General features: G+C 42.9%; 1 protein-coding gene and 1 long non-coding RNA gene across 6 annotated transcripts in view, besides 1 other annotated feature; one reads left to right on the top strand and one right to left on the bottom strand.

Annotated features, from left to right (window-relative positions):
* The first annotated feature begins 2,618 nt into the window (after positions 1-2,618).
* CDH13-AS2 (CDH13 antisense RNA 2) lies at positions 2,619-9,359 on the top strand. Its single transcript, NR_120308.1, has 3 exons — positions 2,619-2,926; positions 3,067-3,160; positions 9,219-9,359. It is a non-coding gene; the product is annotated as a CDH13 antisense RNA 2 (long non-coding RNA).
* Positions 4,203-4,362: a silencer, noted in NCBI's record as "silent region_7767". NCBI's record gives its function as "represses an Ori minimal core promoter by ATAC-STARR-seq in GM12878 lymphoblastoid cells {active_cell/tissue: GM12878}" and the evidence as "EXISTENCE:reporter gene assay evidence [ECO:0000049][PMID:35858748]".
* CDH13 (cadherin 13) overlaps positions 5,955-13,556 on the bottom strand; it is a 1,173,672-nt gene continuing 1,166,070 nt past the window's right edge. For all 5 annotated transcript variants that reach the window (NM_001220488.2, NM_001257.5, NM_001220489.2 and 2 more), the window contains one exon: positions 5,955-11,572. In NM_001220488.2, the coding sequence (NP_001207417.1) occupies positions 11,565-11,572 (8 nt within the window). In that variant the 3' untranslated portion in view covers positions 5,955-11,564. The remainder of the gene's footprint in view (positions 11,573-13,556) is intronic.

Genomic DNA, 13,556 nt, shown 5'->3' with positions numbered 1-13,556 from the left:
AACCCGGAATCCAGTTGGCCTTGAGGCATGAGACTTCAACTCCCTTTACCACCCCTTCCCCCTCACTCACACCTTTGCCCCTCACCCTTCACACCTCATCCTTTCCTATAGAGAGATCTTCCTTTCTGTGTAAGTATACACAACTTTTTTGTAATTGGCTGTTGTCAACTGGTATTTGGCTAGTGCTTTACCCGACTACTTGAAATAAAAATATCTCAGTGTTTTAAGTTAATCCTCAGAAGACCCTGTGATATAATTATCATAATTTTACATTTTTGAGAAAACAGATGCAGAGGCGTTAAGAAACTGGAACAAGGTCATCAAATTAAGGAAGTAAGAGACGCAGGACTTCCTGACTCTGCATCTTCTCCTTTTTTCTCACCATTCTAGAATTCTCTGAGTTTTTTGAGCTTAGAGCAGAGTTTCTCAAGAGCTGCAATACTGGCATTTGAGTCAAGTCGTTCTTTATTGTTGGTGGTGGAGGGGGCACCCTGTATATTGTAGGACGTTGGGCAGCATCTCTGACTTCTACCTACTAGATGCCAGTATCTCAGTTTTCTTAAAAGACTTTTTTTTTTTTTTTTTTTTTTTTGAGATGGAGTCTTGCTGTGTTGCCTAGGCTGGAGTGCAGTGGCACCATGTCGACTCACTGCAACCTCCGCCTCCCCGGTTCAAGCGATTCTCCTGCCTCAGCCTCCTGAGTAGCTGGGATTACAGGTGAGCACCACCATGCCCAGCTAATCGTAAAAGACTTTTCATAAAACTTCAGAACTCCTTAAAAACTAGTGAATAGCCAAGGTGAAGAAAGCCCTCAGGCTTCTGACTTTAGACCCCAATCCCTGGGACTCCCACACTCAGCAAAGAAAGCTGGGTGCCTGCACCCTGGATCTCTGAGCAAACCTGTCTTATGGCTGTGGGCAACTCAGGAACATGAATTAGCACGAGAATCTGGAGTTTTTCTTTCCTTTTCTGGTAAGACACTTGTGGTTTTTTTTTTTCAAATTCCAATTGGAAATTTGCTTTACATGAACAACAAACAAACTTGATACTCTTTTAGTGGAGGCATTATTTGTTCCTTTATTTTTTGCACTTAAACAGACAGGCAGTATGCTTTCTCTGTGTGGAGACCAAGGTCTGTTAAAGGGCTGCTTTTCACGGAAGCTTCACTAATTTATACTCATGGCTGACATACTCACCTTGTGGGGCTGACACACCGAACCTAACTGAATATTGTCCCATTAACAAAACTAATGTATTACGTGTAAGGCACCAGTAATTAACCTTTAAACTTCGGTTTTGAACAACTCTCATTTTTAACCTTTATTTAAGTGTCATAGTTGTCTTACCTCCTCTTGGCATTTTTTTTTTAAAGCTCTTCCTAGATTAATTGCATGTTGTAACTCCCTTTTTCCATTCAAGACAGTTTTGTTTTACGTGCGCTTATTATGGTACTTTTATAATTGCTTTTTGGTTCTCTGGGCCATTCTTTTGACATGCCTCCTTTCTTGGATCTGTACTATGATAGGTGGCTGGGCATGGTGGCTCATGCCTGTAATCCCAGCACTTTGGGAGGCTGAGGCAGGCAGATCACTTGAGACCAGGAGTTCAAGACCAGCCTCGCCAGTGTGGCGAAACCCCATCTCTACTAAAAATACAAAAATTAGCTGGGCTAGGTGGCGTGCACCTGTAATCCCAACTATTCAGGAGGCTGAGCCAGGAGAATCGCTTGACCTGGGGAGGCAGAGGTTGCAGTGAGCCGAGATCTATCCCCTGCACTCCATCCTGGGCAACAGATTGTGACTCTGTCTCAAAAAACAGTAATAATAAAATACACTATGGAAGGTGTTGGTCTGTCCATGTGACCACATGCAATGAGGTGCTTTGTGCGTTTGCCTTGTGTGAGCAGCGATGGAATGATCCTAGCGGGGCCTTGGAGGAACTGGAATGTTCTTTGCCTAGTTGCACCTGCGTCAGCTCTGTAGGCCCAGCCCTGGGGCCCAGCAGCTGCTCCCCTGGTTTGCTTTCCTCCCAGGTTGCCTCATGCTGCTGCTGAGCAACCTTCACCTGATGGGCGGTGCCACAGCAGGGTCAGTGAAGGGTGCCCCTTCCTTCTAGTGACCTGGGCTGCCCTAGCCCTGGCCCTTCAGTAGCCATTCCAAACCTTTCTGGTCCCCCCAAATCCAGGACTTTATCCCCTTCACCCTCAGAGGATGACCTTATATTCTATTTTGTGGAGAAAATGGAGACTGTCCATCAAAACCCCTTAACTCCCGTCCTGCGTGCATTCCTAAGTTCCTACATTAACCCCCGTGTCACTAGCTAACGATCCTTTCTGTCTCAGGAAGCAGTGTTCTTCCTCGCGCACAGGGCTCTGCGTTTGTCTAAGGCAGAGAGACCTGGGCCCTGATCCCATTCTCTTTCCTCAACTCCAGGAACTTGCTTCCTGCATTCATTTTCTTTTTTCCAATGATTCCTCCTTCTCAGCACATAAAAGTGACCAACCCCTCGCCCCACCCCCGCTGCACAAAAAACAAATAGAAAATGGAAACCAGTCCAACCAGGGTGAACCTCCACTGACTGTGTGCCCTTGTTGAGCTACTGCTCATAGGGGAGCTTCTAGAAAGGAAGGACTTATTGTCTTAGTTACTTGATCCACTTCCTTACCTCCTGTTCATGCAACTTTGCTTGTTTTGCTTCTACTAAAATGGTTCTAGGTGCTGTGTGGACAGGTGATACAAAAGCCTGACTCACACGGTTGACATTCATTCATTCCATTTTCATTTCTCTTTGAGTGATCCTGACAAGCAGAGGGTCTCAGGTGGATATTACTGTGTCTTTGAGACCTCTCTAATCCTTATCTATCTCTCATTTTAATACAGAGAGTTTCATACGCAGACCTTAAGTAGACATAGTATCCAGCTAAAAGGTAATTATGCTTTTTTGTTTGTTTTCATTGTATTTATTTTTACTGCTGCTTTATTGTATTCCAAGTGATACTGGTTTTTCATTCATGTTGTTATAATGTAGAGTTTTCTTTTTCTTTTTTCTTTTTTTTTTTTGAGACAGGGTCTCACTCTGTCACCCAGGCTGGAGTGCAGTGGCGCAGTCATGGCTCCCTGTAACCTCAACCTCTCAGACTCCAGCAATCCTCCTGCGACAGGTATGCACCATTACGCTTGTCTAATCTTTGTATTTTTTGTAGAGATGGAGTTTCGCCATGTTGTCTAGGCTGGTCTTGAACTCTTGGGCTCAAACCATCTACCTACCTGCCTTGGCCTCTCCAAATGCTGGGTTGATAGGTATGAGCTACCATGCCCGGCCAATGTACCAGCTTCTTTTAAAATAAATTCAAGCCAAAATTATAAATGTAAAATTACGTAGTTTAAAACTAGAGTTGTAGCTGATGGTACAGGTGGCATTTCAGTGTGGCAGAGTTAGTGAAGGTGCTGAGAGATGAGACAGGGAGACGGCTAAATAGGGACGATATTCCCTTGGGATTAAAGTTTAGAAAATCCTGCCTTGAAAGAAGGCAGGGAGCCAAAGGGTGAAGACATTGCGTGTGCTGTGAAACAACATGGTTACAAAATTTGATAAGGGGAAGCACAGGAACTATGACTGCATCAGGGTAACATCGACTTGCTTCTTCTCCGTGGGGATAAACTCAGAGAGGATGCTGAGGGATGTCAGCAGGTGCTGGGTCCCTGTTTTTCACAGAACAATCCTTCAGGTGCTAGTAAGCCTCAGGAGGAGGATGCTGTCCCGCTGGCACGAGGAGGGGCTGGGGCACGACAGTCATCATCCAAGCAAAGGTAGGGCTTAGTTACAGACACAGAACGGCAGATTTAATCTAGAAACACCACCATCCTGGTACCAGTCTTCTTGGCTTGGATTCCCATGTAAAAATCCAGCGTTGCTACCCTCTCAAGGGTGTGCCCTGGTTAGAATGAGTGGATATTTTGCCTCGCATTACCAAAGCACAAGGAGGTCTCTTTGAGGACTTGTTTGTAAAAAAATCAAACAACAACAAACAAACAAACAAAAACCTAGAAAATTGCTTTTCTCGGGGAGAATGGTGTGATCGGTGGTTGTTCTGACAATTTCACGTTCTCTTGCTTTCGGATTGAAGCATTGGTTTCTGTTTCTTATGTTCTTTTGAGGCAAATTTCCAAATTAGCGTCTCTATGACTGGCTGCCAAGGCATCCGTTTGCTATTTATTTACCCAAACTAGCAGTTTCCTGGAGACAGACTGCCTAGGGGGAAGGAAAGTTTTCTTATAGACCAGATTTGCAAGTTTGGGTTTCCTCTGCTTCATCCCCCATCATTGACAACTTGCTTAGTCCTCAGCACTTTCATGCATTGTTTGTGATGACACAGTTTGTTCCTGGAGATAAATGGGGTGGTGCTGCCTTAGCATATAGCAAGAAAAGTGCCAGGGTGGGGCCATGCATATCACTTAGTAGTCGTGAGACCTACTGTGAGATAGTTTTAACTGTGTGAACCTCAGTTTCTTCATCTATAGAATGGTGCTAATGTCTATTACATAAATTATGTATATGATATATAATTATGTATTACACATAAATTACAAATATAACTACAAGGTAATATGTATATACACATCTATATAGATACGTAAAGTATCCGGCCCGTAGGAAGCACTTAACGAATACCCCCTTCCCTTTTTTTTTTTTTTTTTCGCTTTTGAGTTGGAGTCTTGCTCTGCTCTGTTGCCCAGGCTGGAGTGCAGTGGCACTATCTTGGCTCACTGCAACCTCCGGCTCCCAGGTTCAAGAGAGTCTCCTGCCTCAGCCTCCTGAGTAGCTGGGATTACAGGTGCCCACCATTACACCTGGCTTAGTTTTATATTTTTGGTAGAGACGAGGTTTCTCCATGTTGGCCAGGCTGGTCTTGAACTCCTGACCTCAGGTGATCGGCCCACCTCTGCCTCCCAAATTGCTGGAATTACAGGCGTGAGCCACCACATCTGGCCCCCTCCTTTTTTTACAAAATGATCTCACTAACCTTCTTGCTATCTTCTCTCTCTTTCTATCTCTCTCTCTCTATCATCTATCCATCTATCCTTCTATCATCTATATATCTGTTTTTCCAAATCAGAATGATTGACTTTTATGAAAGAAGCAGAAGAGAGCCAATTATTAAGCAGGCAGCACTTGGTTTTAGTCTTGGTTTTTAAACATCATAGGCTAACCTGGTGTGGAGTCCTGATAAGTAAGCAACAATGAGGAAGGGGGGTCCCAGGTAGGGAACAACTGTTCCAAGAGACAGCTAATCACAAACAAGCCGCTGGCACAACTACCTCACTCCAAGTGTAACATCCTCCAGCACAACCCTATAAAACTTCCCTCCAGCCCCTGCCTCTTTCCAGACATCCCCTTCTCTGCTGTGCTGCCTGTTGCTTCCTTGCAACGTACTTTCCCTTGAATAATCAGCCTTTCTTTACCTACAACTGTCTTGGTAAATTGGTAAATTCTTCTTCTTCTTCTTCTTCTTCTTTTTTTTTTTTTTTGAGACAGAGTCTCACTCTGTTACCCAGGCTGGAGTGCAGCGGCGCTATCTCGGCTCACTGCAACCTCCGCCTCCCAGGTTCAAGCGATTCTCCCGCCTTAGCTTCCTGAGTAGCTGGGATTACAGGCATGCGCCACTGTGCCCAGCTAATTTTTGTATTTTTGGTAGAGATGGGGTTTCACCACTTTGGCTAGGCTGGTCACGAACTCCTGACCTCCGGTGATCTGCCCGCCTTGGCCTCCCAAAGTGCTGGGATTACAGGCGTGAGCCACCACGCCCTGCCGGTAAATTCTTTTACCATCCACAACACCGGCACCAGCCAGTTGCACCCATGACACTGTGCACCATTGGAAAAAAAGGTCCCTTTGCTCTGTCACAGTGTTTAGACCAGACTGTACTAAAGATGGTCTAAGACTAAACACACAAGTTAAAAATCCCAGATAAGCTTTATTTGAATGTTTCACAAACAAGTTGCACATTTCTCTGTAACTACATAGTAAAGCAAATGTTAGTTTACAGCTCAGAAACTGTAAGCAATTCAGCAGTGAGGGCCCAAAGGAGCGACATCTGCCATAGACTGAATATTTTAACATGATTAACTTTTATCCCTTTTGAAAAGTGTGTGTGAATAAAAAGCATTTAAAATTTCTTAAAATTTTTATCTGGGGGGATACATAAAATTTTGTCATCAGGACAGTGTTGACATGTGCATGACAACACAGATATAACTCTCTAATAATAGTCTGAATTCATGTGTACGACAGATATAGAATGGCTTTAGTACTCTCTAAAGAAAAAGCTTTTTAAAAAGTAGCAAAAAAATAGTCTCCAGTTTATTTTCATAGTGCTTCTATAAGCCCCTTTCTCCAAATCTTCATAGCTTCAGAGTGAAAACCTCCCTCGTCCTACACCACCCAACGCTTTTCACCATCTCCCTACCAATGAGACGGCACGTGGAAAGTCAAATAAAATGGTTCAAAGGCGTATCAAGCTCAGCAACCCTCCAACGATAGATGTGATGATAGCAACATAGTATGAGAGAGAGGAAATTTTTCCGCTTACTTAATTTGATGAGTATCTCAATTATTTCTGCTTAAATTATAGACTGACTCTTCTTAAATTATATAATTGAAGTTCTTATCTGAAACCCTCATACACACACCCATTCCCACCATTTTTTGCTGTCTCTCCATGTCTTGTATATGCTTTCATGTGAACACGGTCACAACTGCAGAATTTTTTCAATAGTGGGCTAATCTATTAGCAATAGGAAATATAGTAAGGGTAACACATTGCATATAGTAAAAGAATTGTTAATTGTGTTAGATGAACCATTTTGAAAGCATTTTATCATTAGACTGTGAAAATTATCAAATCTCAACAGTCAGTTAAGGAGAGAAGATGGAGGTCTTTATGAAAGATGTAGCCAGATTATTAGATTATTATTCTTAGTATTTGGTAAACAGAAAAGGTAGGTGGCTTTTTTAGTGCTTGGGTTTCCTGTTGGTGTGACTTACCCTGTTGACTCATGTTTAAGGCAGCTACACGTAAACAGATTTATGGGCTACCTTTACAAAATCAGCAACTACTTAGAGATCCTTTAGAATTTGCCCCTTTGAATGATTTATAGCAAAGCACAGTGCAAACCCTTTGAGACCCCACCCCACTTTCTCCCTCAGTTTTCTCTCCCCTCAGTTGGTTTGGTAGTGAATGGGTACTCTGGAGTTCATAAATTTCCTTTTCTTTCTTTTTTTTTTTTTTTTTTTTTGACGGAGTCTTGCTCTGTTGCCCAGGCTGGAGTGCAATGGCTCACTGCAAACTCTGCCTCCTGGGTTCAAGCGATTCTCCTGCCTCAGCCTCCTGAGTAGCTGGGGTTTCAGGTGTGCACCACCACACCCAGCTAATTTTTGTATTTTTTAGTAGAGATAGGGTTTCACCATGCTGGCCAGGCTGGTCTTGAACTCCTGACCTTAAGTGATCCACCCGCCTCTGCCTCCCAAAGGGCTGGGATTACAGGCATGAGTCACCATGCCCGGCTACTTTTGATTAACTGAGATGTTAAATTAATCTAGGAGAAGCCCCTCATCTACCTGCTAACAAGCCATGGAAGGGAAGGGGCAAATAATTACGTTATCTTGCACAGGAAAAATTTCTAAGGTCTCAATATTAATTTAGAACGATGTTAACATTTTTTTTTTTAACAGAAAGCTTTCAGATTGAAGAAGTATAGCATGAACTTAATAATAGGTAACAGAAGATACTGTTAGTAAAAGGTACTTAATAGTAAAGGGTACCTCATAGTAAAAGGTACTGTTGCTTAACAGTAAGTTGGTCTAGCTGCATAGTCACGCTAATGGAGGCTTCAAACGAGGGTCTTCCGGTCTGCAGTAGGCACTTTGTCTGGTTTTGCTCCTGGGTTGAGAGTGGCATTGTGATGTTGTCGGAAGAACATGAACCCTGGAGCCAGATAGCCTGAGGTTTGGTTCTGGAGGCCACTTACCTTGGGCAAGCCATTCAATTTTTCTGAGCCTCAGCCTTCTTTATCTGTGAGTTGGAGAAGATAGTAGTGCTTGTCTCATATGTTACTGGAGGGATTAATGAGTTACTATCTGTAAGGATTTTGTACAGTGTGGGCACATAATAAGCAGTTGATAAATATAAACCATTATTATAATTATTAATCACCTTTTTGGTACCATGTTCATACACCCCCTAGGAAAATTGTAGACTCCTTTCCTCAGAATCATCTGGAGAGCTCGTGCCTGGGTGCAACTGCACTAAATCCAGGATCAAACACAGACTTGTTAAAAATTTTTTAGTTGTCACATCTTAAGATTAAGACCCAGTGTATTTATTTGGGTAAAATGCAATTTGAGCTACTCTATGAGTGTGATGGTAGATGGTTGTTCCATTTATCAGACTGTTTTAAATGACATTCTGAAACTCTGGAATGAGCTATCAAAATTTCTAACGATGTTCTTTAAGAGCCAAAGTCTTATTTGATACCTACCATGAAATCTGGCTGGATTTATTTCGTTATAATGCTTAGATTTGCTGGTGTCGGCCAAGAGGCACAGCAGGTATATCTGCCTGGAATGATGCTCATTTGGAGAGAACTGGCGGTATTGAAGGTGACTTTTATTGAAATTAGAAAATGTGTGCATATTCTTATTAAAACAAATTATCCAAAATAATTAATTTATCGTATGTAAAATGAGGGAGAAAATGTGATTTTTAATCAACTAAGTTGGTTGAGTATTAATAAAAAGAAGTGAAGGTGTGACTATTTGCTCAGTGGAAATAAAACCCTCAGACCTGTGCTCAGTAATTGGGAAAAGCAATTTCTGGTCCTTACTTGACTTCGTTTTTTAATAAGTTGGACTCAGATAAAATGCATAGGTAATAATGAAATAACATTTTGATTCTACTATGGTTTTCAGTAAACAATGTAATATATTCCAGCAAATGAACAAAACATCTTATGATTCAGGAAATGCTACCACTTTGGCCTATAAGAATTGGTTTATTTTCCTTTTTTTCTGGAAACTATTAGGAGGAACAACATGACAGAAGTATCTCTGTCCTGATTAGAACTGTGGGGACAGAGAATATGTTTAAATAAGGGAAAGTTGAGGCATATTCTATTTATTAATGAAGTGTGCACTTTACTCCTATTTTTCTGAATTTTCAGCGAAGTTAATCTTCTGGTTCGGTTCACAAAGTGCAGGAGAGCCTACCAGCTTGAGAGAAAAGGAGTCATGCTGTATTTGTTTCCTTGAGTGAATGGCCACTCAGCTGCTGTGTTTCTCCCTGCATGTGGCTGAAGTTTACATTGGAGGGTGACTTCCTGATTGCCAGTTAGCATATGTGTCCGGCTACCAGCCGCCTGACTGGCTGAGGATGCTCTTTGTTTGTTCAAGGATGAACGTTCTCCCCCTGCCTTGCAGGAAGAGGGGAGCAAGGTGCGCCCGGGAGACGCGTGACAGTGCCCTGTAAAGCCAGTAGAGGAAATCTTGTGGAGTGTGAATGCACAGGCTTAGATTCCCCTGTCCCTGAGTCGGGGGCATGTGCTCGTGGAGAATGACCCTATCAAGTTCAAGGTGTGGCATCTCCTGATCCAGCAACAGGATTTGTTCCAGAGAAAAATCCCCAGGTCTTGGGACTGTTGACAGATGGCCATGACTATGCTTAATGTGGTCATCAACTGAGAATGGTCCGTCTCATCTTTGAGTATGCAATTACCTTTATAGCTGATTATGACACCCTCAGATCATATCATGAGGTGGACAAGATGAGTCCATGGCCCATGCTGAGAACTGGTACTTCTGTCTTCATAGACTCACTCACCAACCAGAGATGTACGACGGACCCCAAATGGTCTGTCAAAAATGTGAACTTGCACTAAGACAAGACCCAACATCAGTGACATTGGACACAAGATAGAAATCAGAGAACAGTTACTGTCCAGCAGTTTTAACCACCAATACCCATTTATTTTAATGGAAAAAAAAATCTCTGCATTCTATATGTTCCAAAAGGATTTACCATTGAAACAAATACAATATATGGAACTCTATCTGTATAATTTCACTACAACAAAGACAACATATGACTTCTACTTCCTACAGAAGGCTAACTGAAAGCACAAGTGCAAACATAGATTGCATAAGAAAGCGTGTGTGTGTGCATGTGCGGTTAAAACCTTTAGTAAGCAACTGCATTAAAATATGCTAAGACACTCACCTTACCCTAGTTCGTGGCGAGCTCTAATAAAAAGCCACAAGCTGTCACTAGTTTTATTTGATAGAAAAATTTGGTGTGAGCTTTGATGATTCATTTATGGTTTATCAACAAGAAGGTAATCTTAGAACAAGCACTAACTTTCCGCTTTTACATGCTCACAGAATACAAATCAGTTACTTTTCATACATAATGAACGTCTTTTATTTTCGGGTTTGCAAACAACGGTAGTCAATTCACACAAAAGGGTACTTTTAAAACTACCTGTATTTACTCTATTTTATGCCTGTATATATGAAACAAACAGCGTGAATGTGCATAAATGTATGTCTGTACATGTGGGTATATATGTGTATACAAGATGGTACCTGTACACCTCTTTGTATGCATGTATGACCTCCATGATGACAGGTGCAGTTGTACATTTACTGAGGAGGGAGAGATTCTCTACCATGATCTGTGTCCCCATTAGAATCAGTACGACTGTGGATTCGGGACACATACAAATGCAGGTTGGTGCCCATGAAAGAAAATGTCAGCCCTTTTCTTGGCATTTGGTGGTGAAATTGCCTGCTCTGCTCCTCACCTCCTTGGCTCAGGATCACGGCATCAGATGGCAGTGTAAATTGGTTGTAGTCCTCGAACTCAATAAAGAGAAAGGACTTCTTTCTCTGCTCTCCCTCTCTGTGGACCTGCCTGGCTGGTTGTGGCAGCATTCAGACTGAACGGGACAGTGGAGAAGTAGCTTCGGAGCAAAAGTGACAGCTCTGTGGTCTGTCCTCATGCTGACCTTGATGCGGGAGGCCCTGGAGGGTTCAGGTGTCTTAGTTTCCACCCACCTTGCTTAACCTTGCAAGGAAGAATGGCATCAAAACGAGGCTTCTCCAGGATAGTCTCTCTCTATAAATACCGTGTATATATACATACAGATACTCATACATACACCAATACTAACCCACAGACAAAGCTGGGTGCCTGGAGCACTGGCTAGCGACATGTTAACACACCAGAAAAAGTAGTCATTGTTCCTGCTCCCAGAAGATCAAGTCATATGTCATGATCTTTAAACATTCAGGGAAAATTCAGAAGATTCCATTAATTAAAGGAGGGAGGAAGATGCTGTCAAAATGATGAAGTACAGACTAAGTGAAATTGTAAAGAAAATAAAAAACCGGAACAATTGAGGCCTAGTTGTGAAGTTCGATAGCTGTAAACCGCAATCTTCAGATTTGGATAGATTTTTTTTTTTCCTGTTGCTATGGAAACTTGGGAGTCAAGCTTCAGACGTCAGGAGTTCTCACAGACCTGAATAGAGAGGGTTCAGAGTTAAGTCGGGAATATCACCACTCAATTCAAAACATTTTAGCTAAAAGCCAGAAAAATGACAGGCAAGGTATAATAAACACATTTTAAACATCACACGACTATGGGGGAATTTTTTTTTTCCTTAAGGATCACATTGGAAGACAGAATGAATGGTTATATGGTAAAAAGCTGGACTTCTCTGAAAATGCTAATGGTGACTTCAGATGCCAAACATCGCTCAGACCGAGAGCTGCTATTACCACCGTTACCAATGAGCCTTATGTCTTTGTCTCTCAGCACAGAGCTTGGCTATTTTATGAGCATGCTATGTATCTTAGAGATTGGTGATTATCCCATATATGTATCGACTTCCTGTGACTATATATATATATATATGTTGACTTAAGGATCACAAGTCACAGAGCAAGATACCTATTGGTGGTTCTTCAAACATGATATGTTTTTATTTTGAGACAGGGTCTCATTCTGTTGCCCCAGCTGGAGTGTAGTGGTACAATCTTGGCTCACTGCAACCCCTGCCTCCTGGGCTCAAGCGATCCTCCCACCTTAGTCTCCGGAGGAGCTGGGACTACAGGCATGCACCGCCATGCCTGGCTAATTTTTGCATTTTTTATAGAGATGGAGTTTCGCCATGTTGTCCAGGCTGTTCTTGAACTCCTGGCCTCAAGCGATCCTCCCATCTTGGCCTCCCAAAGTGCTGGGGGTTATAGGCTCACCTGTGAGCCACTGCACCTGGCCCAAACATGGTATGTTAATTTCCTGTTGCTCCTGTAACAAATGGCCATAAAGTGCAAACAACACGAATCTATTCTCTTACAGTTCTGGAAGTCAGAAGACTGAGCTCAGTCTTATGGGGCTCAAATCAGTGTTGACCAGGCTGTGCTCCTTCTGGAGGCTCTAGGAAAGCATCCGTTCCCTTGCCTTTCCTGGCCTCTAAGGGTTGCCTGCATCCCTTGGCTCATGGCCCCTTCCTTCATCTTCAGAGGCAGCACTGCAGCATCTTCTCTTTTTCACCTCTGACCTCCCTCTGTTTCTGTCATCACATGGTCTGTTTCTAATCGACTCTTCCTTTGTCCCTCTTATAAGGACTCTGTGATTATATCAGGCTCACCTGGCTAATCCAAGATACTCTCCCCATCTCAAAATCCTTCACTGAGTCACATCTGAGAAATTTTTTTTTTTTTTTTTTAGAGACAGAGTCTCACTTTGTTGCTCAGGCTGGAGTGCATTGGCACAATCTTGGCTCCCTGCAACCTCCGCCTCCCAGGTTTGAGCGATTCTTTTGCCTCAGCCTCCTGAGTATCTGGGATGACAGGTGCCTGCCCGAAGTCTCTTTTGCCATATAAGGTAACATGTTTACAGGTTCCAGGGATTAGGATGAAGAGTACATCTTTGGGGGCCATTACTCAGCCAATCACGAAAGTAGCATTGTGTTCCCAGAGGAAAAAAGGCATCTCATGGCAGACTGTGTTGCAGACTTTGAGAACGTCACTCATGTAGAAAACTTCACAGAAAGAGACATCAGCATAGTGTGCGTTCAAGAGCCTGTCTTCCCAGCACCTGCTCGTGGCTCCTCCTTATGGCCAGCTGCGGGGCTGGCTCCAGTGTGGAGTCTGTCACTCTGCTCAACTCAGCAATGTTGGCTGGGAGAGGCTCTGGCTCTAGGATGCTCAGATCCGGTTTCAAAATGAGGCGTGTTTTTGCCTGCATTTTTCTTTTGTTGCCACCTTACTCCTCGCAAGCACGTTTTGTCTGTGCAATTCCAGCAGAGGCGTGAATTCCAGCCCAGGACTAAGAGTTCATAAAATTGAGTAAACTACTGTGTCTACAGTAATAGTTGGCAAAGCCCTTCCTCACTCTCAGGCTTCTGTTACAGTCTTGCTCCATCAAAAGAAGGAAAAAAGAAAGAAATTAATCAGTATACATGTGCTGTGTACTCATTTTTCTGACCTTTGTTCTCACT

The sequence above is a fragment of the Homo sapiens genome, chromosome 16 (genome assembly GCF_000001405.40).
Source record: "Homo sapiens chromosome 16, GRCh38.p14 Primary Assembly".
Classification (NCBI taxonomy): Eukaryota; Metazoa; Chordata; class Mammalia; order Primates; family Hominidae; genus Homo; species Homo sapiens.
This window is presented reverse-complemented; position numbering and strand designations above follow the sequence as displayed.